Source organism: Homo sapiens, chromosome 11 (genome assembly GCF_000001405.40).
Source record: "Homo sapiens chromosome 11, GRCh38.p14 Primary Assembly".
Taxonomy (NCBI): domain Eukaryota; kingdom Metazoa; phylum Chordata; class Mammalia; order Primates; family Hominidae; genus Homo; species Homo sapiens.
The window spans coordinates 73,998,612-74,019,901 of NC_000011.10; the positions used below are offsets into that span (position 1 = coordinate 73,998,612).

Here is a 21,290-nt window from a genome sequence, read left to right on the forward strand (position 1 = left end):
GGAGAAAGAGATCTAGTATTTTGGCCTAGAAACCTCACAAGACTCACCAATCTCGTTTTTCTTTCTCCAAAAGGCTAGACTTGGCAGTTAGTAGGCTCCTGATCCCAGTCAAAATATCTCTTAGAATATTTTATCCTCCCTTTCTCAGAATCATCACCTGAATAGCATCCTCTGGGTAGGTGGTGTGTTAATATTGCCATATGGAAATTCATGGAAGATATAGTTCCTGGCCCTAGAAACTTACAAACTGAGACCAGGAGTTTGAGAGTGATTTGCACATGTCAGTCAAGTCAAAAGAAAGAGAAACTCTTTTTTCTTTTTTCGTTTTTGTTTTTTGAGATGGGGTCTCACTCTGTCACCTAGGCTAGGGTGCAGTGGTGTAAGCTCGGCTCACTGCAACCTCCGCCTCCTGGGCTCAAGTGATCCTCCCACCTGAGCCCCCCGAGTAGCTGGGACCGCAGGCACATGTCACCATGCCTGGCTAAAAAGGGAAACTTTTAATTTAATTCAATTCAATTTAATTTTTTTTTTTGAGACAGAGTCTCGCCTAGGCTGGAGTGCAGTGGTGTGGTTTTGGCTCACTGCAACCTCAGTCTCCTGGGTTCGAGTGATTCTCTTGCCTCAGCCTCCCGAGTAGCTAGGATTACAGGCACCCACCACCATGCCTGGGTAATTTTTTTTTTTTTTTTTGGTATTTTTAGTAGAGACAGAGTTTCACCATGTTGGCCAGGCTGGTCTCAAACTCTTGACCTCAAGTGATCCGCCCGCCTCGGCCTCCCAAAGGCGTGAGCCACTGCACCAACCGGAAACTTTTCAAAATATGGGTTTTATTTGAAAACCAAGCCAGACATTAAATCAAAATAATTTTTTTTTGCTTTTGTATGAACTCTCCAGTTTGTATACATAGATGATCTCAAGTTATAATTTAAATTTAGGAAAGTGCTGAGGATGAATAGATATTTGCTTTTTCCCAGGGTCTGGAGGGGTAGGAGCAGGGAAGCAGGGAAATGACATTACCGAGTGCCTCCTGTATGCCAACGATTTTTTGTTTGTTTTGTTTCAGAGAAGGAGTTATGCTCTGTTGCCAAGGCTGGAGTGCAGTCATTATTCACAGGTGCAGTCATGGCTCACTGCAGCCCTGAACTCCTGGGCTCAAGCAGTCCTCTCGCTTAAGCCTCCCAGGTAGCAGGTGCACACCACATGTCTGCTTTCCAAGGAGTTTTAGGTCAACCCTCACAACAAGCCTGTGAAGCAGCGATTGTTATTCCCACTTCTCTGGTAGCACACCAAGGTGCAAGGATTCCCTGTGGCTAGGTGGTTAGTAAGGTAGAATGGGGTGAGGTTTGAACCCAGTCCTGACAATCATCAGAGCTACGCAAGGCTGCCAAGAAGTAGAAAAAGATAGTGGCATTTTGGGTCCCCATTATCAATTCGAAAAATGTACAGTCTTAAGCTTGGAAGTCGGTCGTCTGGTTCAACCCTGCCTTTTGCAGAAGCAGGAGCTGGAACCCTAAAAAAATAAAGCTACTTGCCTGCAATTAAACAGGGTGAGAGGGGGCAGATGAAGTGTAGGCATGTGGGGCTGGATCTGGCCCTGCCCTGACACATAGAAAGCCTGAAATAGAAGTGAGAAAGGAAAATTCCAAGAAAGAAAAGGCAGAGAAGTGGCTGTTCTTACTCCCACACCTAAGGTGTGAATTCTTTTATTGAGTCATAATAATTTCCCGAGAATTCCGAGTCCTGCTACTTTAGGTTCTTGCCCAGGAATCCACCTCTTTTCCCCCAAGCCCAACAATCCTTTGAGGTACTCATGATTGAGCACGTGGTGGGGGGGGTGGGGAAGAGGCTGCATGGGGGTGGGGCTCCTGTGGCTTCACGTCATCCACTGTCACCTCTGGTCCCCAAGTCTCTGGATCCTTTGGTCTCACCTCTAGACAACCGTATCTTTCAAACCTTCTTCCCTGGCAACTCCTCTCTGTCCCGACAAAATCTCTCCCAAGGCATTGTCCTTGTAGTTAGATTTACACAGAGCTTTTGCTTTTATAAAGTGCGTTCATGCCCAGCTTCTCACTTGCATGTCATAGCACCCCTGGTGAGGTGGACAGGGAAGGGATGGCTCCCTCCATTTTGTAGGAAAGTGGGGGCTGCCCTCTTGATTCTTCAGTGTCGTCAGGGAATATTTACGAGCCCCAGCCTCACATGGGCCCAGCAGGGCTTCTTTAGCACAGGCTCTAGTTTTTTCTCTTGTTCCTTGGGTTTCCTAGAATCCCAAAGGACTCTCTGTGGCAGACATATTACAAATAGGCTGATGATGCATGTGTGATGGTGCAGCTGCAGTCGCCAGCTCTGTGTTGCTGGGTGGCATCCCTCCAGGCTCCGTGGCTGATCTCCCACTCCATTGTGGGCCCCTCCTGTCCCGTGCTTGCCATCCTTCCTGCTTATCATTCATTATCTAACCAGATTTCACGGGGATACACGTCTCCAACCTTCCATTTTGTCCAAATGGATCTATCTTGGTTTATTTTCTCTTGCCTAAATATTAGGCATGCCTAATGGGTTTCAAAAATTAATATAATTTATTTTCCATCTTGTCAGTGCAAAACAAAGGTGTTCTTGAGGCATGGCAGTGAAGACCAGAATCCCTCCTCCTCTTCTACTTCTGTTTCTTGAATCAGCAACAAGTAAACAACAGTTCTGTAAACATGTGTGGGTCTGTGTCCATGTGTGCGTGGATGCACCGTTTTCTTCCATTCTTAACTGGTTTCGGACACGTTAGCTACCAGTGGCCTTCTTGTCTTGTTCAAAACGGTGATTCCCGTAACATCTGGACTTTCATCAGGGCCCGTTTCAGCTGCTCATAGGTTACGAACATCACCACGTTCCAGGATCCCAAACGCAAAAAGGAGGGTGTAAATCTGATAAGAAAAACAACCAACACATCAGGTGGAGTGCTAGGGGACCACAACAGATGCGTGTGCTCTCCCGGGACACAGTGGTAGTGCCAGAGGATCCAGACTTCTGTTCATCACAAGCATTTTCTGAATCCTTTCAGTCTCTCTCTCTCTTTTTTTTTTCTGCTAAGGGGATTTAGGCAGAAGTCGGAGTAAGGAAAAGAAAAAAAAACTCACGTTTTGAGACGGGTTACTGTGTTAGGCAGCGAATTCTCACAGTTCTATAAGGCAGCCATGTTGCTGCCAGGCTCTTTTTCACAAACTGAGGCCCAGGGAGGTTAAGAGCTCAACCAAAGACCCGCGGCTAGTAAGTGTCAGAGGTGCGGTTCTAACTCCACCCTGCTGCTGGGTGTTTCTGGGCTCAGTTACACCCCGGGTGGCCAGCCCTAACATGGCCCCCTGCCAGGACATGGAGAAGCTTGGGCTTTGCAGGGTGAATACAGTGTGGCACCAGATTTAGCTCTTCTCCAGAGAGGCTGGCTGTGCTGTGATGGCATAGCACAGTGTCCCCACCTCAGCTGTGGCTCACCAACTCAGGGAGAAGCCCACGAGCTGGCCCCTGCCCCTCTCTCAGCCTGTCCCTCCACTAACCACCTCCTGGGCCCGTTTGCTCCCACCAGACTCAGCTAGTCACATTCCCTGACGATGCCAGGCCCTCTTCCCTCCATGCCTTTGCTCCTCTTGCTCCCTCTGCCTGGACTGTCCCCTCCTCTCCTCCTTCCCTGGCTGGTTGCTCTTTGCTCTGGAGGACTCAGTTTGGGCACTGTGACCTCATGCCATGGGTTTTCTTGACTCTTGTGGGGACGATAGTACTGTGACAACAAATGTAAACTCTGGAGTCAGACCTGGGTTCAAATCCAAGCTCTCCCAGTTTCTAGCTTTACAATCTGGACACATCACTTAATCTTTCTAAGCCTCAGTTTCCTTATCTGTAAAATGAGGAAAATAACAGTATCTGCCTTGTGGAGTTAGTCGTGCAGATTAGGTGAGTTAATGTTGGACAGCACTCAGCACAGGGCCCAGCATCAATACATGCTCAGTAAATACCACCAACTTATCTGCTGCTCTTTGAGGGAGGCATAACCCAGGGCCTGGCACCTACAAGATGCTCCAGAAATGTTGGACAAGTGAAAGCAGTAACTGAGACAAGTGGCTACAGCTGAAGACTGTAATGATAGAGGCACTTTTTGGAAGAACAGTCTGTCAATTGCAGTATAGTTTTATTACGTCATTCCCAGGCTTGAGAACCTATAGCAGCTCTTGTTCACTTGTTGGGTCCATTCTAACACTGGGCACCAAAAAACTCTCTGTTGAAGACATCAGCAGTGGGAGGTGAAAGGGCCAAGCTAAGAGCTTACCAGTAGGATAAACAACATTGTTGGGTGTGGTGTCTGACGGTCAGGGTTTGAGCCATGGCTCCACCATTTTAACCTGTGATCTTGGATAAGTTACTTAACTTTTCTGACACTCAGTCTTTTCCTTAGTTAATGTGGACAATACTACCCAGTTCAAGGGGCTGTTGGGATAACGTGTGTAAAGTGCTCAGCACGAGGCCTAATATAGAGTGACTTAGCTATTGTGATAATCATAAACAACCTGCATTATCGAGTGCTCACTTTGTGTGAGGGACTGTGGGAGATAAAAGATGTCTGAGCCACTTTTGCTGTCAGGAACTTGCTCTTTGCATGAGGAATAATTTAAGCTTACAAATACTATAATACAAGGCAGGAGGTGATAAATACCATAAAAATGGTATCAAATGGCATTGCAGAAGTTCCCAGGGAGGAGGAAAAATTTACACCTGAGAGTGTTAGGGAGGAGGTGGCATTTGAACTCGTCTTGAAGGATGGCTAAAATTGACAGCCTGTAGATGATGAGGCATTCCACGCAGAGGGAGCAGTAAGTGCAAGAAAACGTGGAGCGTGTGGAGACAGTGAGGAAGGCACTGGCCATGGTCAGTGTGGTGCTCAATGGCCATGGCAGGAGGTCCAGGAGGTCTCAGGATTGCTAACTTCCTCTGGAGACAGGCAGTACTTTTACCTATTCCTGGAGTGTTTGTTCTCAGTCAGGCTTCCCTAACCCTCCCCATCAGGTATGGTTCACTTTTTTTCTTTTACTTGCATGGTTTTTTAAACTTCTTCTTTGTGGCATTTACATCTGTACTCTTCACCGCTACATCCCAGGTTGACCCACGGTAGCCACATTCGAAAAGAAAGAAGCCCCTGTTCTCTGGGAGGGAGTGCTGGAGGCAGGAGGAGGCTCACCCCTTGTAGAAGGCTGTGGGGCCCTCCTGGGCCACCATCTTTATCATACAGTCGAGGGGGCTGAAGTACTGGCCTGGAGGTGAGTTCATATACCGGGTCTTCACCACGTCCACCGGGGAGGCCACCACTGTGGCACAGAAGCCGGCTCCAAAGGCAGAGACAAAGTGGCAGGGGAAGTTGTCTGCAGAGGAAGGACAAGCAAATATCAAGGAGTGCATTTGTGTTCTGTCCATATGTATGCACTGTTTGTCCCCAACTCAACCGTGAACTCCCTGAGCATAGGACAGTATTTTCCATATCTCTCACAGTGCCCTGGGCTAAGCTCTTGGTAAGTACTGGCAAACTAGGCCTGGGCTGACCCAGAGGTGGGAGGTCATGCAGGCTGTTTGAGGAAACTGAAGTCGGAGAAGGTGAGAGACCCCTGCTTAAAGCTATATAGTGAGAGGTGGTGCTGGGACTGGAACCCAAGTCTCCAGCCTCCCAGCCCAGGGGTCTTTCCTGCTTGTCACCACAATGTACCTGGCACTTTTTACTAGGCACTGCTTCTCTCTCTGCTCCTTCTAAAACCCAGTTGCCTCTGGGTGGTGCCCACTCCACGGAGTTCTGGGTTCCCTCCCTGCTGAGGGAGAGCTGCCTGCCTGGAGCCCAGGGCCTCACCAGTGAGCAGGTGGTAGTCCAGCAGCTTCTCCTTGAGGATGTCGTAGGTCACCACCTCAGCACAGTTGACGATAGCATTCCTCATGATGTTGGGCAAAGTTCCTGTTAGGAAGGCGGTGGGGAGGGATGTGAAATGGGTGGGGAGGGAGGAATGGGAAATGGGAGAAATGGATGCCCTGGCTGCAAGGCCACAGGCCCCAGTTTTGGGGCCATAGTGCCCCATTCCAATGGTCTCAGCCAGAGGATCCCACCCCAGCTGAGCAGATTCCACATTTTCCTTTCTAGGGTTAACAACTCTCAGATTATCCATGTTTTCCTCAGAGACAGAGAACAGAGAGGCCCACTTGTGTTCATTTGGCCACATTTGGAGGGTGATCTGCAATAGCTGTCAAAATTAAAATATGCTTCCTGGAGACCCAGCTGCAGCCAGAAAAGAAAGTCATTCAGCGAGAGGCTGAGCTCTTGGAACAGTGACAGAATGTGGTGCCAGCAGGGCCCTAGGAAACTGTCAGGATCAAACCCCTGGTTTCACAGGTAAGGGGACAAGCTCTGAAGGGTGCCCAACAAGTGAGTGAAGAGCCCCAACTTAAGAGGTGTCCTGCCCTTAAACTTCACTGGGTCAGTTTCTTCTGCAAACGTTCCTGCAACCTCTGGTTCACATGCGGAGAGAGTCCTGCATTCATCGCAGTGGCTGCCATGTGGACACATAGGGAGCCCTCCAGCTTTGCTCCCAAGGAAGCGCTTCCTCGTTGCATCTCCCTGCGCCCACTCCTCACAGCTGTGCTTTTCTGATGCTCCTCTTTTTCCTCCGGACCCTGCTTGAGGGCCCCTCCCCTTCCGTCTCCACACACCTAGAGCCTGTTCAGTCTTCCAGGCCCAGCTTAGGTGTCACCTTCTCTGCAGAGCCCGCCTCTGGAGCTCCACCTCTGGGGCAACCCCTACCACATCCTGCCTGTGGTGTAGCTGCATCTTATCTCCTCTGCTGTCCTCATGCCCTGGGCGTGTGAAGGTGTCTTAAGTTCATTTCTGGCTCCCTCACATCAACCTGCACATGGCAAAGGGCTGGTAAAATGAACTGAGTTTGAGGGGCTGTGGCAGGTCAGTGAAGTATCTTTGGTTGTGATGTTCTTTCAGAATCACTGGAACACGCCATGCTGGGAGTCCCCTCCTTACTGGGGTCCCTGCCCCAGCCTGAGGGGAGGGAAAGCTCTGCCTAAGACCGCCTGCGTCCAGAGTCCAGACCTACCTTTCCACAGGCCCCTGACTCCTTCCTCCCTGGCGATGGTTCTGTAGGCGTCCATAGTCCCGCTGTATTTTCTGTCGCTCCTGGATGGCCCGAGGTGTATGCTGGCCTGAAATCGGACCTTCACCACATCTGTGGGCTGGGCACAGGTCACCGCCATGGCTCCTGTGGTGCAGCCGGCCAAAATCCGGGTAGTGAGGCTGGAGTCTGGGAGGGGCAGAGAGAGTGGGCCAGTGTCCCCTACTAAGCAGCATTCTGGGACATGCTGTTCTCTGCGGGGCTGCCCCTGCAGCTTCCTTGATGTCCACTCAGAGCCTCCTCATAAGCGTCCGGTACCAGCTTCCCCCCGCCCCTGGCTCTGCCTCTGAGTCTAGACTTCCCTGGTCTCTTGACCCACACACTTTCAGCCACCCCTTTGGTGTTCAGGGACCTGGTCACTCACTGTCCGCGCCTTTGGGGGTGTACACCTGCTTGACGGAGTCATAGAGGCCGATGCGGATGGAGGCGAAGCTCATCTGGCGCTGCAGGCCGGCCACCAGCCCATTGTAGGGGCTGCAGGGACCCTCAGTCCGCACCATGGTCAGGATGGTGCCCAGCACGCCACGGTACTGCACGAGCCGGGCCGTCTGGACCGCCTGGTTCTCCCCCTGGATCTGAGGGACAATAGCAGGGGGTGAGGACTCAGATGGGAAGGCAAGAAGGGGCTGCGTGCACAGGAACCCTGCTGGGGCTGGGCCTGCCTGGGCTGGGCCTGAGAACAACCATGCTGGTCACAGTAGAAATCACTGGTGTCTGCGCAGCATTTTACCATTCACAAAGCAGTATTATACACATGGCTTGGTGTTTGATCCTCAGAGTAAATCAGAGGGACAGATTGTTTTTCCCATTTTATAAGTGCTTCGTGGCTTGCCCAAGGTCACACAGTTAATTCCTTACTTTTACCTCACACTGCATGCTTTACAAAGTAGGGCCTAGCCCATAAAGGGCCCTGTCACATCATGCAAAGAATTTAGATTTTTTTGTCCTGGTGGATGGTGATGGGAGGAGGCAAGGAAGGGTCCTAAGCAGTGGAGTGAGAGTCTTTGTCAGGGTTCTGAGGAAGGGCATGTGGGCACACGTCATGGGGGATATGGGAGAGAACTAGCCCCTCCTTCCATGTGATCAATGACCCTTGGCCAAAGGGCACCTACCTGCAGGCGGACCTTGGCTGTGTCCAGTGGAAAGGTAACGAGGTCAGCAAAACAGGCTGCTGTGCCTGCCCCCAGGAACTTCACAGCCATGGTGGGAGGCACGTCTGAAGGCTTCAGTCCAACCATAGTCCTGGAAGGCTCTGCCCAGTCCCTTTAGGGCCGAGAGGAGGTCCAAGGAGAGAGGCTGCTCCACAGCCCTGGGCTTCAGTGCAGCGGTGGGGCTGCAGGAGACAGGCCAGAGAAGGCTGATGGAGTGATGTCTGGCCTGGCTCCCAGGAACTCTTCCTTACCCAGGAGGGGCTTTAGAAAGGGAGAAGCCTGGGTGGTGCCATACTTAAGCTGCATGAATTTGGCCTATAAAAACAGGTCACGTTCCTATCCCTTGAATTTTGCAATCCTCCTCCTGACCCTCTCCCTCCCCTCCTTACCAGGGGTAGGCAGAGCTGATAGTGGTACCTGCACTGTATACATGAGGAAACCGAGGCTCAGGCATCTGTTCTCCCCAATATCAAACTGCCTCCTTTTTTTTTTTGAGACAGGGTCTCACTCTGTTACCTGGGCTGGAGTGCAGTGGTGCAATCCAGGCTCACTGCAGCCTTGACCTCTTGGACTCAAGTGACCCTCCCACCTTCAGCCTCCCGAGTAGCTGGGACTACAGGTGTGCATCACCATACCCAGCTAATTTTTTATTTTTTGTAGAGATGGGGGTCTCTCTATGTTGCCTATTCTGGTCTTGAACTCTTGGCCTCAGCGTGATCACTTGACAAGAGGGGCAGTTCTTAGCCACTCATGGAAAATGGAATGGATGGACACAGACTCAGGTCAAAAGCCCACCTTGGGGCTCTAGAACTTTCAGTAGTCAAGCTGCGGGAGGAGGGAAAGCCACAGTGGTGGGCACAGGTAGGAGGTGCCTTGAGGCCAGCACTCCCCAATCTTCTTCCCAATTCACTCCAGACTCTCCTAGACCCCTAGCAGCCGGCAGCCTTTTGCCACTGGCCAGTGGAGGAAGAAGTCAAAAGTGGAACCCTCATTACTGTAGCTCTGCTGGGGCTCCTGAGGGATGGGATGTTCTAGTCAGCATGGTCCATTAATGTTTGCTGGTTGCTTCTTGCACCAGATACCGTGCTGAGGGCTTTACAGACACTGACTGATTTGATCCCTTCATAAGGCTACAAGTAGTTGCTATTATTATTCTCATTTCGTAAACCAGGGACCTGAGGCTTCCAGGGCTTTTGCTAGTCATACAGCTGAAGTGCTGGAGCTGAGATTGGTGCCCACGTTTGTCTGACATCTGAAGCTGCGCCTGTTTCACTGCCCAGAGAGTCTCAGACTTCAGGGAGAGCCAAGGATCCCTTGAGCTGCTTGTTTACAGAGCAGATTCTCAGCTCTCAGCCCCAGAGATCCTGATTTAGGTCTGGGGTGGGGCCTAGGAATCTGCATTAGGAAAACTCCCTGTGGTAGCTCTGAAGCAGGGGAAGAGGACCCCATTTTGAGACATCCTACCCAACACCAGTTGCCTCCCCAACTCCAACCCACCCTCCCGGCAAAGCCTTCACAGCAGCCCACTGAAGAAGCCGTCTGGGCAGAGACCATGGGCTCTGTAAAGCTCCCAGCAAATGACCTGGACCACGCCTCAGGTCAGAAGTGCCCCTGTCATCCCTACTCAGGAAGAGGGCCCCAGGGTCCTCATGGAAAGAGAGGGATTTATGCTCTGGAGGAATCGCAGAGATTCTGGGGCAGGCAAAGAAGAAAGCCACTTCCTGTCTATGGGGATTTGCAAAATCCCACCAGAGGCAGCCAGCAAGGCAAAGGGGGTGTGAGTCTTGAGTGAGTGACACGGGTGTTGGGTTCAAGCCCCAGCCCTGCCACAGTACCCTCATCAAGGCCACAGCTCCCTTTTCATAAGGTGGCGGCTGGACTGAATCTCTATCAGGTCTGACAAGCTGCAGCTAGTGAGCCCTGACTGCTCGGGGCTGCTCTCTGAAAGCCTCCAATGAAAGGGAGAACAAGGAGAAGGGAGAGGGAGAGGGGAAGGGATGAGGGAGGAGAAAGGGGTCTTACCTGTGAGTCCTGCCACGGCAGGGGCAGCACAGGGGCTCCCTAGGGCTCCATCCCAGGAGGTGGCAGCAGGGATTGGATGGCCCCTCCTTGTCATTCACTGTTGTCTCTGCTGCTTCTGGCTTGGCACTGGTCTTATACACACGGGCTGACCTGAAACCTTATCCTAGAGAAGTTGGTTGACAGCCTGATCACTTGACAAGAGGCTGGCTGGTGAGGGCAGTGAGGTGAGAGGGGAGGTGAGTGAGTTCCAGATCTGGTTCAGTCCTCTTGACTTGGGGTGCTTTAATATAGCTCCTTTAAGCTGTGGACGCTTCCTTGGTGACAAGGGTGTATGGGGGGGTGGACCTGCTGCCACTTTTGAGTCCAAAGGTCAAGGCCTCCCACGATAGGCTGGGCACAGCTCTCCCAGGTCTCTTAATAATAATGTCATTTCTTTGTGCCTACTATGTGCTAAATATTTTACATACATTACTACTATTTTCCACAATCCTATGAGATAGGTACTATTAGGATTCTATTTTTTTTACTTTTTTTTTTTGTAATTTAAAATTTTTTAGTAGAGACGAGGTCTTGCTGTGTTCCCCAGGCTGGTCTTGAACTCCTGGGCTTAAGTGATCCTCCTGCCTCAGTCTGGCAAAGTGCTGGGATTATAGGTGTGAGCCACTGCACCCGACCTAATTTTTTTTTTTTAAATTACAGATTTATTGATATAGAATTCACATACCGTACAATTCATCTGTTTCAAGTGCACAATTCAAATGGTTTTTAGTATATTCTGAGTGGCACAACCATCAACACAATCTATTTTAGAACATTTTCATCACCCTCTCACCCTGGAAAAACTCCATACACATTGGTAGTCACCTCCCTTCCCCCGCTCCCCAGCCTCAGGCAACCACTAATCAATCTACTTTCTGTCTCTATAAATTTGCCTGTTCTGAACACTTCCTAGAAATGGAATCATCCAATATGTGCTTGTTTGTGACTGGCTTCTTTCACTTAGTATAGTAATGCTTTCAAAATTCATCCATGTTGGAGCCTGTATCAGTATTTCGTTTCTTTTTAGTGCTGGGGATCCTAAAATCTTACCACTTATTTTACTGAGGAGGAAATGGAATCTCAGGGAAGTCATGTAGCCAGCACGTGGCGGGGCCTGACTCCAGCCTGTAAACTGTAAGGCATTTTGGGCTTATCTACTGTGACCACCATTCTCTCCAACATGACACTTGGAGGCTTTAGCATGGACACTGCTGGAGCCAAGGGAGCTGGGACCTGGTGGAAGGGTGCCCCACAGAAGCTACTGGAGGCTCCATCTGTGGGCACTCAGAGTAAGGGCTGGGCACAGCTGAATCGGGCCCCAGGTGATGGGGGAAGGGGAGAAGAAGAAGAGAAGGGAGGGGAGGAGTGAGAAGCAGAAGGGAGGGAAGGAAAGGGAGTTAACTGGGTAGGGCAGAGGAGGAGTAGGCAGAAGTCTTTTCTGGACTGGGGCACAGAGCCAGCGTCACAGGGCAGGTGGTCAGAAGCATGGATGTTCAAGTGCAAAGCTTGGGCTGTACCTGTCCTCTTCCTTGGACCAGGCCCTGACCTTAATGTCAGCAGAATAAGCAGCTGCATTAGTGTTAAGAGGGAAGTGGCTGTCAGGGCTGCTGAGATTAGGAAGGCTCAGGAAGTAGGTTCTGAGCTCCATCTGTAATTGCTAGTCTAGAGGTGATGCAGTAAATTGCAGGGAGTCTGTGGGGGAAGAATAGAGTAGAAGCCCAAACCAGGAGGCAGCAGGCTCTGGAGAAACCTAGTGGGAGGGAGGGCCAGGCTCTCTTTAGCTTGGGAGCTTGAGGGCAGGGCCAGGTCTGCCTGCTTTGGCTCCATGTCCTGAGGCCAGCCCATGCTAGAAGTCCGAAGGCTGCCTGCTCTGGGTTGGGATGCAACCAGCCTAGGGATCAGAAACACCTATTCACAGGTCTCTGTGGAGGGAGGGCTCAAAGGGAAGAGAGGCAGCCACTGGCTCGTTCTGGTGGTGGGAACACCTATCTCATGCCTTAATCCATGCCACACGCCTGGTCAAGTCATTTATCTCGGAGTTGGCACTGGGAGATAGATTCAACTTCCGGGGATAAGATATTGATAAATAACACACTGTTTTGAAGTGGAGGTGGGAGGTCTCCACCCTCAGGGTCCTTTTGTGTTATCAGAGGCTGCTCTCAGCCTGGGGTAGGAGTGTGTCCTCCTGACCCCGATCAGGTTGTCTGCGGGAGCTGGAGTGGGATTTGGAGGAATATTCTTTACCTGGGGCTTTCCCCCTCAGGCCTGGGCCCTGACTGCCCCTCTTTAGGTCCCCTGGGCCCCAAGGGAAGTGGGGCCCTGGGCCTTGAATGCTCTGTGCTGGTGACTTGAGAGGGAGGCTGGCCTCTGTGGTGCTGGGGAGGGGTGGGCTGGCAGGCGTCGGAGCAGAGATAAATAGAAGCGGGAGGGCTTGTCACCAAGAAGGCAGCACCCACTCCTTCCTTGAGGTTCCCGCATCATTTTGCACCCTCTGAGGCCCAGGAGTGCTCTGCCTGCCCCAGTGGCTGCATGCTTGCCTCTCTACTGGTTTGCTCCCGAAAGTCAGGAGAGTGGGTGGGGCTGACATTTCCTAAGCTTCCACCATGTGCCAAAAGTAGGCGAAGCACTTTCACAAATGTCATCTCATTTGATCTTCCTCACAACCCCATGAAGCTGGGGTGATTATCTCTGTTTTACAGACGAGGCCACAGAGGCTCAGACGCAGTGAGACTGGTCTCTATCTCCAGCTGCACACTGCTCACAGGCTTTCCTGGCTCTCTCTCTATAGCTGTCCACAGCCTGGGCCAATTCTCTGTGCTCACCCCAAGACCTGTCTCTTCTAGGAAGCCTTCCCTGACTGCCCCAGCCCACATGGTCTTTCTCCATGAAGTCCCTAAATTCAGAGCACTTATTGGCTGTACCTTGTTTTGATTACTGAAAGCAGTAGCCTTGCAATACCTCTGGGATTTCTTGTGTGGTTAATCACTTCCTAACTACACAAACAGAGGCAAAACACTGAACTTACAGAAACTCTAGATATCATAATATCTAGAGTTAGAGAGCTGTTTTGAGGACTGAGTGAAGTGACATGTACTTGGGGGTGAAAGCCTGTTGCCCAGCCACACTGCTCACTCTGCACATTTGGCTCCCGCGACCCCATTTTTTTTTTTTTTTTTTGTGATACGGAGTCTTGCTCTGTTGTCCAGGCTGGAGTGCAGTGGCGTGGTCTCGGTTCACTGCAACCTCCACCTCTTGGGTTCAAGTGATTCTCCTGCCTCAGCCTCCTGAGTAGCTAGGACTACAGGCGTGCACCACGCCCAGCTAATTTTTGTATTTTTTTTTTTTTTAGTAGAGACGGGGTTTTGCCAGGTTGGCCAGGGTAGTCTCAAACTCCTGACCTCAGGTGATCTGCCTGCCTCGGCTTCCCAAAGTGTTTGGATTACAGGTGTGAGCCACTGCACCCATCCATGGCCCTTTTCTTGTCCTCCCCACGGGGCTTTGTCTGATGGATTTCAAGCATCAGCAAAGGAAATACTGGGTGTCACTGTCATCTGGACCAACCTGATTCTGGAGGAGCCAGAAGTCTCATGGTGATTGATCTTCGTCTGCGTGGGGTGTATGGTTGTTAATCTTTCTCTCTGGCAGTTAGGGCACACACGAATTCCTAGCATCCCCACTCCAGCGAAACACTTGTGCACAGATTACAAACACCAATATGATTTTATTCAAACACAGGCAAGAACAATGACCTTCAGAGCTGGGTAAAAATAATAAGTTAAAAGCATGGTTAGAATTTTAGACAATCAGATAAAAAGTTTGAAGGAAGTGATTTCCCCTTCCTCTCCTAATTGATTAATTCAACACAGCATAAAAATAATTTGTATCTATAAAATATCCTTGTTCCCACACAAATGAACTGGAGGTGGCCCTAGGATTTCCTTGACTATGCACAATGCACACAATCTACATGTCCCTCCTCCCCAACTTTTAAGGCAAAAATGGTCCTGCATCTTCAGGCAGAGGGTGGGCTCATGCCAGCAGTCAGCTGTGTCAAGGACACTGGGGGGCGTTTCTCCACCGAAAGATGCCTGCTTGGGTCCCACTTGGGCGCGGATTCCATTTTATTTCTAGCCTTTGCCTCACCACAGAAAAAAGGAGCTGAAATTCTGGCAAGTGGACACTGGACTGGTTTGGGGCACTCCTCCAGTCTGGGCTGACCGGGTCTCTTGAGGCATCCGTGGCCTAGGCAAGTGGTGGTTTCAGGACTGTGACAGCCCTGAAGGAGCCAGACCTGGTGCCTCCTGCAAGCTGGACAAAGCTGACGGAGGGTGGGCAGGTGTCTCCTTCCCCCCAGCCCCTCAGGCTGCGTCAGTCTTTCTGGGAGTACTGAGAAGAAAATATCCGTGCAATCCTGAGAGTTTCTTCCTCAGGCAGGTTGAGGGGGAGCGAGTTAGGTCTGGGGCGACAAGGCCTTTGGGAGAGAGCTCCCCTGGTGGCTTCGCTCTTGTCCTGGAGAGGAAGAAGTCAGCTAGGTTACCACTGAGGATATGGCACCACCAATGGATGACGCTGGTTTCTCTCATCTTTTGGTCCTTTGGTTAATATTTATGTAGAGCTGCCTGGTTTACAAAGCGCTTTACGTACCTTATCTTGCTTGACCCTTACCTCAACCCCATATGGGGGGTATATCATTCTCCCCATGTCGTGGATAAGGAAACTACATTCAGGTGGAATAAACTCAAGGTCCCACAGCTCTGAGTAGCAGAGCTGGGACGTGAACCCCAGCCCTGACTCTTTCTGTGCCTCTGGAGAAGGAGGCAGCGTCACCTCCAGGATAGGTTTGAATCCTCATCCCTTCTCCTGTTGCATGGCTTTAGACAAGTCATTTGTCCTCTGGGTTTAGTCCCATGTGTGATGCTGGGAACATATCCAACTCTCAGGGAGATGGCGGTGAATAATACACTCTCTGTTTGGCCCTTTGGAGCTCCTGGAGTTGCCAGGTGACATAAAGCACCTACCTACTGCTTGGCTACCAAACTTTGATCTCTCTGACTCTGGCTGACAGGGCATCACTAATTCCGCCTTTAAGGTACTTAAACCTGTGGGCTATGGTATCATGGTCCTCTGGACTCCTCTAACTCATTTTTCTTTCTTTTTTCTTACTCCATGTCAGGCTCCTGTGCTGAAGGAGCTCAAAGCTATACAGGAAAGCCATCCCAGACAGCTGGCTGAGAGCAAGGCCCTGGGGAAGAAGTGGGGGCCTGATAGGGGAGGGGGCAGTTCTGAAAGGAGATGGGAGCAGCCTCCACAGGCAAACCTGGCTGACTTCATGGCATGCAGCTTGCTCTTCCCTGTCATCAAGTCCCATGAGCTGAGGCTGTCATAAGCTGAAGGACTATTGAGAGCACACTGTACCACTTCCTGGGCACTGAGAAGAAGCTTGGTGGAGACCCTAGAGACTGGGACCACCTACCCCCTGCAGTTCTGCTCATGAGAAACTGAGGCCCAGCGAGAGTTGCGCCCAGCGAGAGTTGCGCCCAGCGAGAGTTGCTTCTGGCATCAGTAACATTCAGTTATTCTTTCTTTCATGTCTTCAATCTTTTTTAATACCTACTTGAGAGGGGCGCAGAAATAAACAGAACTCCGTTTTAGGCTTTCTCAGCTCAGAGTTAAGCCCTGGAGGCAGAGAGATCTGCCTAAAGAATTAGAATTGCCAGAATGAGATAAGGGGAGTGGAGTCAGGCATCCCTGATCTACTGCCTGGATGTCAGTTTCCCACCCATGAAATAGAAGTGTGGATGGGAAACCTTGAGGGTCCCTGCCAGTCTAGAATTCTAAGTGCCAAGGGAATGTCTACAATCTGGGAAGCTCTCAGTGCTATGAGCCCACAGGCAGCCTTTCCTTATAACCAAGAGCAAAGTGATACTAGGGCTGGGCTGCACAGCAGAGACTAGAAGATCTATCTCCCTGCCTTCTAGGCAGGTCTAGGCTAGAAGGGAAGAAGGAAACCCACTTTTTGCTGGTGTTTGCAGTTCTTCCTTCCAAAATACAGGAAGCACCTGCACTGCATGATGCCTCAGACCAGGGGAGGCCAGTGGCCAGCCTCTGCCTGTTGCTCTCCCACTTCCACACTGGGTGCTCCTGCAGGGCACGGCCTGGGTCTGAGGCTTGGGATCCCAGCGAGGCCAGTTCCAAGACAGGAGCCTGGGAGCTGCTAGACCAGTGTGGGTGGGACCAGGCCAGGGTAACCACAGGTTTAAATTGGGTGGGGAGGAGACTCTTTGTAGTAAGCTTCTCATTCATTCATTCTAGAACCAGTGGTTGTTGTCCTACCATATGCCAGGTCTTTAGTTAAGTTAAACTCTCTCAGGCTCTATGTAGCACTTTAAGCTTGTGTATATCTTTCTCTACTCCCAAGATCCAAGATGGCTGTTTCCTGAGCTATTTGGGATTTAGGATGACACAAGTCCCATTCCTGACCCCCAGCTGTACTGCAGGTAGATTTTCTGGGTCATCAGTTGTATCTTACCTTCCATTTCTTTCTCTGCTACTCTGAAGGGGAAGTAGGGAGATGTTTGTTTTATGAGCCAGATGGGAAAACAGGCCTTAGAGCATAGTATTCTATCTCAAATCCTAAAACCAGGCATTTGTTTCCCCATTTTCTAGAAGAGATGTCTTCTCTGTTTTAGAGAGACTTAGATGAGTCTTGTTCTCCATGGCTGGAAGGGCCAACTACCTCAGTTCATGAAATGACCATAAAAAGACCTCTGTTGGGCTGGGTAGCTCACGTCTGTAACCCCAGCACTTTGGGAGGCCAAGGCAGGGGGATCGCATGAGTCTAGGAGTTTGTGACCAGCTTGGTCAACATAGGGAAACCCTGTCTCAAAAAAAAAAAAAAAGGAAAAAAAAAATTAGCAGGGTGTAGTGGTGCACACCTGTGGTCCCAGCTACTCAGGAGGCTGTGGTGGGAGGATCGCTTGAGCCCAAGAATTCAAGGCTGCAGTAAGCCATGATCATGCTACTGCACTCCAACCTGGGTGACAGAGGAAGACCCTGTCTCAAAACAAAACACCTCTGTTGGTGACTCATCAAACTTTTCAGGAGCCTAAGATCTAATCAACTTGATCAACTCTTATGGACAACAGGCAGACGTGGTTCCTGTTGTCATAGGGCTGCTCAGCTAGAGAGAAGACAGACAATGAGCTACCCAACAATCACAGAGATGAAGCTTAGAGCTTGTGAGCACTGAGAAAATAGCAATTAGTAACAGCTGAGAAAGTCTGGGGCGGCTTCACAGGAGGTGGGCTCCAAGATGGGCAAGGTCTCAACAGAAGCTGGCTGTCAGGTGAGGTCTTTCATTAGAGGGAACAGCATGAGCACAGACCTACACCTACTGGCTGGGCCATATCTGCCCTGGAGCTGAATCGTGTGTGGCACCAACCTTCCAGCACTGATACCCTAACCCAATGACCTAGGGGGCCTTATCTGCAAGGCCCAGGCCCAGGAATCAGAACAAGGACAAGGACAGGGCTTGGCTCTGTGTACAGGGCAGGGGCGGGGTGTGGAAGGACAGAGAACTCACACTCAGCAGCATTTTGCTTTTGTTGACCTCAATAGGGTTTAGAAACCATCTTGACTAGTAGTGAAGATTCTTCCTTCATCAGGACTGCTACCCTAACACACAACCCTGGTGGGGTTGGCCAGAGGCGAAATTGGCCAGAGCAGGGATACCCTCAAATGTATCATCCATTCCTCTGAAATACTCCTACACTTCTGGCTGTAGACCTGAGGGCACAAGAAAGTTGTCAGCAGAACATGGGCTTTGTGGGAGGCATCAACCTTCCTGGGGAGGCAGGAGGAACACACATGGAAGCAGGATCGTCGTAGCTGGAGGGGCTGCAGGTGCCTTGGAGTCTAGACAGCGGGTGTCATCCATGGGGTGAAGTCCCTGGAGCGGGAACTTAAACATGAAGGTGGAATGTGAACAGACAATGAAGAGAGAGGGTATGCCACGTGGAGGTGCAGGTTTTGTGAGGAAGGAATTTTCTTTGCTAGGAAAGTGGTGGGGGTGGATAGGCTGAGCTGCAGGTATGGAGAACAGCCAAGACAAACCTATTACTAGAAGAGGGGTTGATGCTGGTTGAGGAAGTTCCAGAATGTCTGGGGGGAATTTGATCTTATTCTTCTTGGACTTCAGCGAGCTGATCTGTAAGGGCCTTCCCAGGGAACAGGGATGGGGTATTTGACGACTGTACTAGGCTGAAGGACAGAACTGGCTTTCCTGTGGACCGGGTGTCAAGCACGGCAGTAGGCCAGGGGCTTTCAGGCTGCCCCATTAAATCCTACCTCATCCATACATGGGACCTGTTCCTTTCTGAGTACCTGGACACCCAGGTCATGAACATGATAGGCCTCTCTGATAATAGATGTGTCTTAAAAGAGCCTTCAATGCTAAAGATCAGACTTTGCTGGGGAGAAAATGGAGCACGTGGAAGGTGTAAGGAGTGGTTTGGAAAGAAAATGTGGGGCTTCCTGAGGCTCTTCAAATTGAGTGGCTAACCCTGCATAAGGAGCTGGTTCTAGTCCTGGCTCTACCACTTCTTAGCCAAGCGGTGTTGGGCAACCCACCTTCTCTTTGGGCCTTGGTTTGTGCATCTGAATGGGATCAGGATGAGCAGATAATGCAAGAGGAGGCACTCTATAAACCACGGGCTTATCCCGGCCCTTGGCTCCTTCTCTGGTCTGCTCCCTGTGATGCAGACTCTTCTCCAAAAGCTCTCTCAGGAGGGCCTGGCCCTCTTCTTTGGCCTGGAACATGATCTGATCCCAGCCACTGTGTTCTAGGTTCTCTTCACTCCAGCCCCCAGATGGATTCCTCGAACAGGCCACATGCTCCCAGGGGTTGGTGGGTACAGGTGCCCCCACTTACCCCTGCTTCCAAGTATCTGAGGGACTTTCTCAGAGGACAGGCAATGGAGTGCAGTGGAAGGGACACTGGTCTGTGGCCCAACCTAACTGTCTCACTCACTCAAGACCAAGATGCTTTCTCACTCTGGGTCTCTCTGGGTCTTAGCTTCACTGTCAAGTGGATCTAAGAACTTCTGTTTGGTCTTCTTATCCAGGTCTATGCTGGGTTCAAATAAAATTCAGATATGGCCGAGGTTCTGACCAGGTATAATATCTTACAAAACACAGAGGCTAAGATGGAGCTAGAGCCAATACCAGCTGCAGACCCAAGAGCAAAATGAAGCCTTGCTGTTCTCAGACCCCATCCCTGGCAAAGGGTCAGGCCCCAAAAGTCCTGAGTAGAGCTGGGGTACAGGATCTCCTGTACTGAGGTAAGCAGTGCTAGACCAGGCAAGTTCTCCCCGCCCCACTGTCTTCCCCCCTTCTTTGGTAACAGTGAGCCTCTGGTCTGGGATGAGGGCTAAAGTTCTGTTCTTTTCCACAGTAGCCCCTTTAAGTGACATAAACATTGACTCAGGAGCTGAAAACTGAAAGTAAACAGCCGCCTGGGTCTGGCTGGCTAGGTGGACCTGCCAATGGATTGCTGCATCAGAGGCCGAGTGAGGGCTCAATATAGCTGCCTGCCTTGCTCAACTTTCACCCCTTTGGCTGGCTGCCTTTCCCTGGGGTGGCTCTCAGAGTCTGGCCTGGACTAGAACTTCCTTGATACTACAGAGAGCAGCAAACTCAGCAGCCACAAGTAGGAGCAGAGGGGAAGTGAGGACAAGGCACTTAGACTAGAGGCCCAGCCCTGAGAGGCAAATCCCAAATCTGACCTGCTCAGCCCGGCTGCCGCATGGCTCTGGTCTCATGCTCTGAGCTCACCCTCCATGCCTAAATTAGAGGTCTGGTCATGTGGTTCTTATTACCGATATGCTCCCTCCGTGCCACACCCCACCTGATGCCACCCTCTCCTTACTCCAAGAAGCCTTCCCGGACAGGCCCATTCTACAGGGCCTACGTCACTCCCTCACCCTGGGCCTTAGTCTATGCTACGAAGGGGCCTGACTAGGGCAAGACTCCTCAACCCTTTTTTTTGTTTGTTTTTTTAAACAGGGCCTGGTTCAAAAGATGATCCTCAATCTTCTGAACCCAAGCTCTGCCAGAGAGAGGGCTCCAAAGTCCAGGTTTTGAGAGGGAAGGGTTAAAAGTTATACTCTTACAAGAAGAGCTCCTGGCTCCTCCTGGACTCTGGCCTCAGAGTGGCTCAGGCAACCTGAGACTAGCACCTGCCCAGCAGACCTATGAGCCCCTTCCTAAAAAGTGTCTGCCAACTTGCAGTCTGGGCCAGGGTGGCGCCAGCCAATTTTGGCTGTTTCTCCTGACCTCTATACACCCGTGGCCAAGTTGCTTATCTTCTAAAAGCTCTGTATGGCCTTTATCAGAGATACTTTGACCTTTAGGTCTCTCTTAGGCTCTGCAGAAAGCTAGGGACTTGGTGGTTTAATGAAATGAGGCAATAGGTCAGGACCTCTTGCCCCAAGAGGGGCAGCTCAGCCGTCAGGCCTGGACCACAGGCTGAGAAGAAACCCAGGATCAGTAAGTTCCCTCAGGCCCCCTACTGATCTGATCTGGTGGCTTTGTGGAGAGCTGGGATTCTCTACCAGGACTATTTATCTTTCAGCTGCTTCTGGTTTGTGGAAAGGAAACCAAAGGATAGATTTTTTTTTTTCAGACACAGTTTCACTCTGTCGCCCAGGCTGAAGTGCAGTGGCACCATCTTGACTCACTGCAACCTCTGCCTCCCAGGTTCAAGTGATTCTCATGCCTCAGCCTCCCAAGTAGCTGGGATTAGAGGTGCCAGGATAGAAAAATTCTATCCCTTGGTTTAGACATGTTGCTGAGGACCTCAGAAAGTCATAAGCAGAGACAGGACAAA

At 50.8% G+C, this 21,290-nt stretch overlaps 2 protein-coding genes across 5 annotated transcripts in view, besides 4 other annotated features; both read right to left on the reverse strand.

Moving 5' to 3' along the window:
- UCP3 (uncoupling protein 3) lies at nt 1,666-10,474 on the reverse strand. 4 transcript variants are annotated; one of them, XR_007062495.1, is made up of 7 exons: nt 10,367-10,474; nt 8,306-8,526; nt 7,558-7,768; nt 7,119-7,322; nt 5,873-5,974; nt 3,129-5,396; nt 1,666-2,915 (listed from the first exon to the last, which is right to left on the reverse strand). XR_007062495.1 is itself a non-coding variant. In NM_003356.4 (7 exons), the coding sequence occupies exons 2-7, from the start codon at nt 8,429-8,431 to the stop codon at nt 2,801-2,803; spliced, it is 939 nt and encodes a 312-aa protein (NP_003347.1). In that variant the 5' UTR covers nt 8,432-8,526; nt 10,367-10,474; the 3' UTR covers nt 1,666-2,800. The 4 variants fall into 4 exon arrangements, 3 of the variants coding, with proteins under 3 accessions (NP_003347.1, XP_047283475.1, NP_073714.1); NM_003356.4 differs by having other exon boundaries at nt 5,216-5,396; XM_047427519.1 differs by having other exon boundaries at nt 5,216-5,396; nt 8,306-10,474.
- Nucleotides 5,404-6,603: an enhancer, noted in NCBI's record as "MED14-independent group 3 enhancer chr11:73715060-73716259 (GRCh37/hg19 assembly coordinates)". NCBI's record gives its function as "activates an origin of replication core promoter dependent on BRD2, BRD4, P300/CBP and CDK7 cofactors, and independent of MED14, by STARR-seq in HCT116 cells {active_cell/tissue: HCT116}" and the evidence as "EXISTENCE:reporter gene assay evidence [ECO:0000049][PMID:35650434]".
- Nucleotides 9,769-9,949: a silencer, noted in NCBI's record as "fragment chr11:73719425-73719605 (GRCh37/hg19 assembly coordinates)". NCBI's record gives its function as "represses an EF-1alpha promoter that drives an FKBP-Casp9 reporter gene in an ReSE screen in K562 erythroleukemia cells {active_cell/tissue: K562}" and the evidence as "EXISTENCE:reporter gene assay evidence [ECO:0000049][PMID:32094911]".
- Nucleotides 10,083-10,722: an enhancer, noted in NCBI's record as "H3K27ac-H3K4me1 hESC enhancer chr11:73719739-73720378 (GRCh37/hg19 assembly coordinates)". NCBI's record gives its function as "activates a minimal SCP1, AML or CMV promoter by ChIP-STARR-seq in naive H9 embryonic stem cells {active_cell/tissue: H9 hESC(naive)}" and the evidence as "EXISTENCE:reporter gene assay evidence [ECO:0000049][PMID:30033119]".
- Nucleotides 13,295-13,444: an enhancer, noted in NCBI's record as "active region_5249". NCBI's record gives its function as "activates an Ori minimal core promoter by ATAC-STARR-seq in GM12878 lymphoblastoid cells {active_cell/tissue: GM12878}" and the evidence as "EXISTENCE:reporter gene assay evidence [ECO:0000049][PMID:35858748]".
- C2CD3 (C2 domain containing 3 centriole elongation regulator) overlaps nt 14,107-21,290 on the reverse strand; it is a 158,285-nt gene continuing 151,101 nt past the window's right edge. The window contains exon 33 of the mRNA NM_001286577.2: nt 14,107-14,914. Within this exon, the coding sequence (NP_001273506.1) occupies nt 14,774-14,914 (141 nt within the window). The 3' untranslated portion in view covers nt 14,107-14,773. The remainder of the gene's footprint in view (nt 14,915-21,290) is intronic.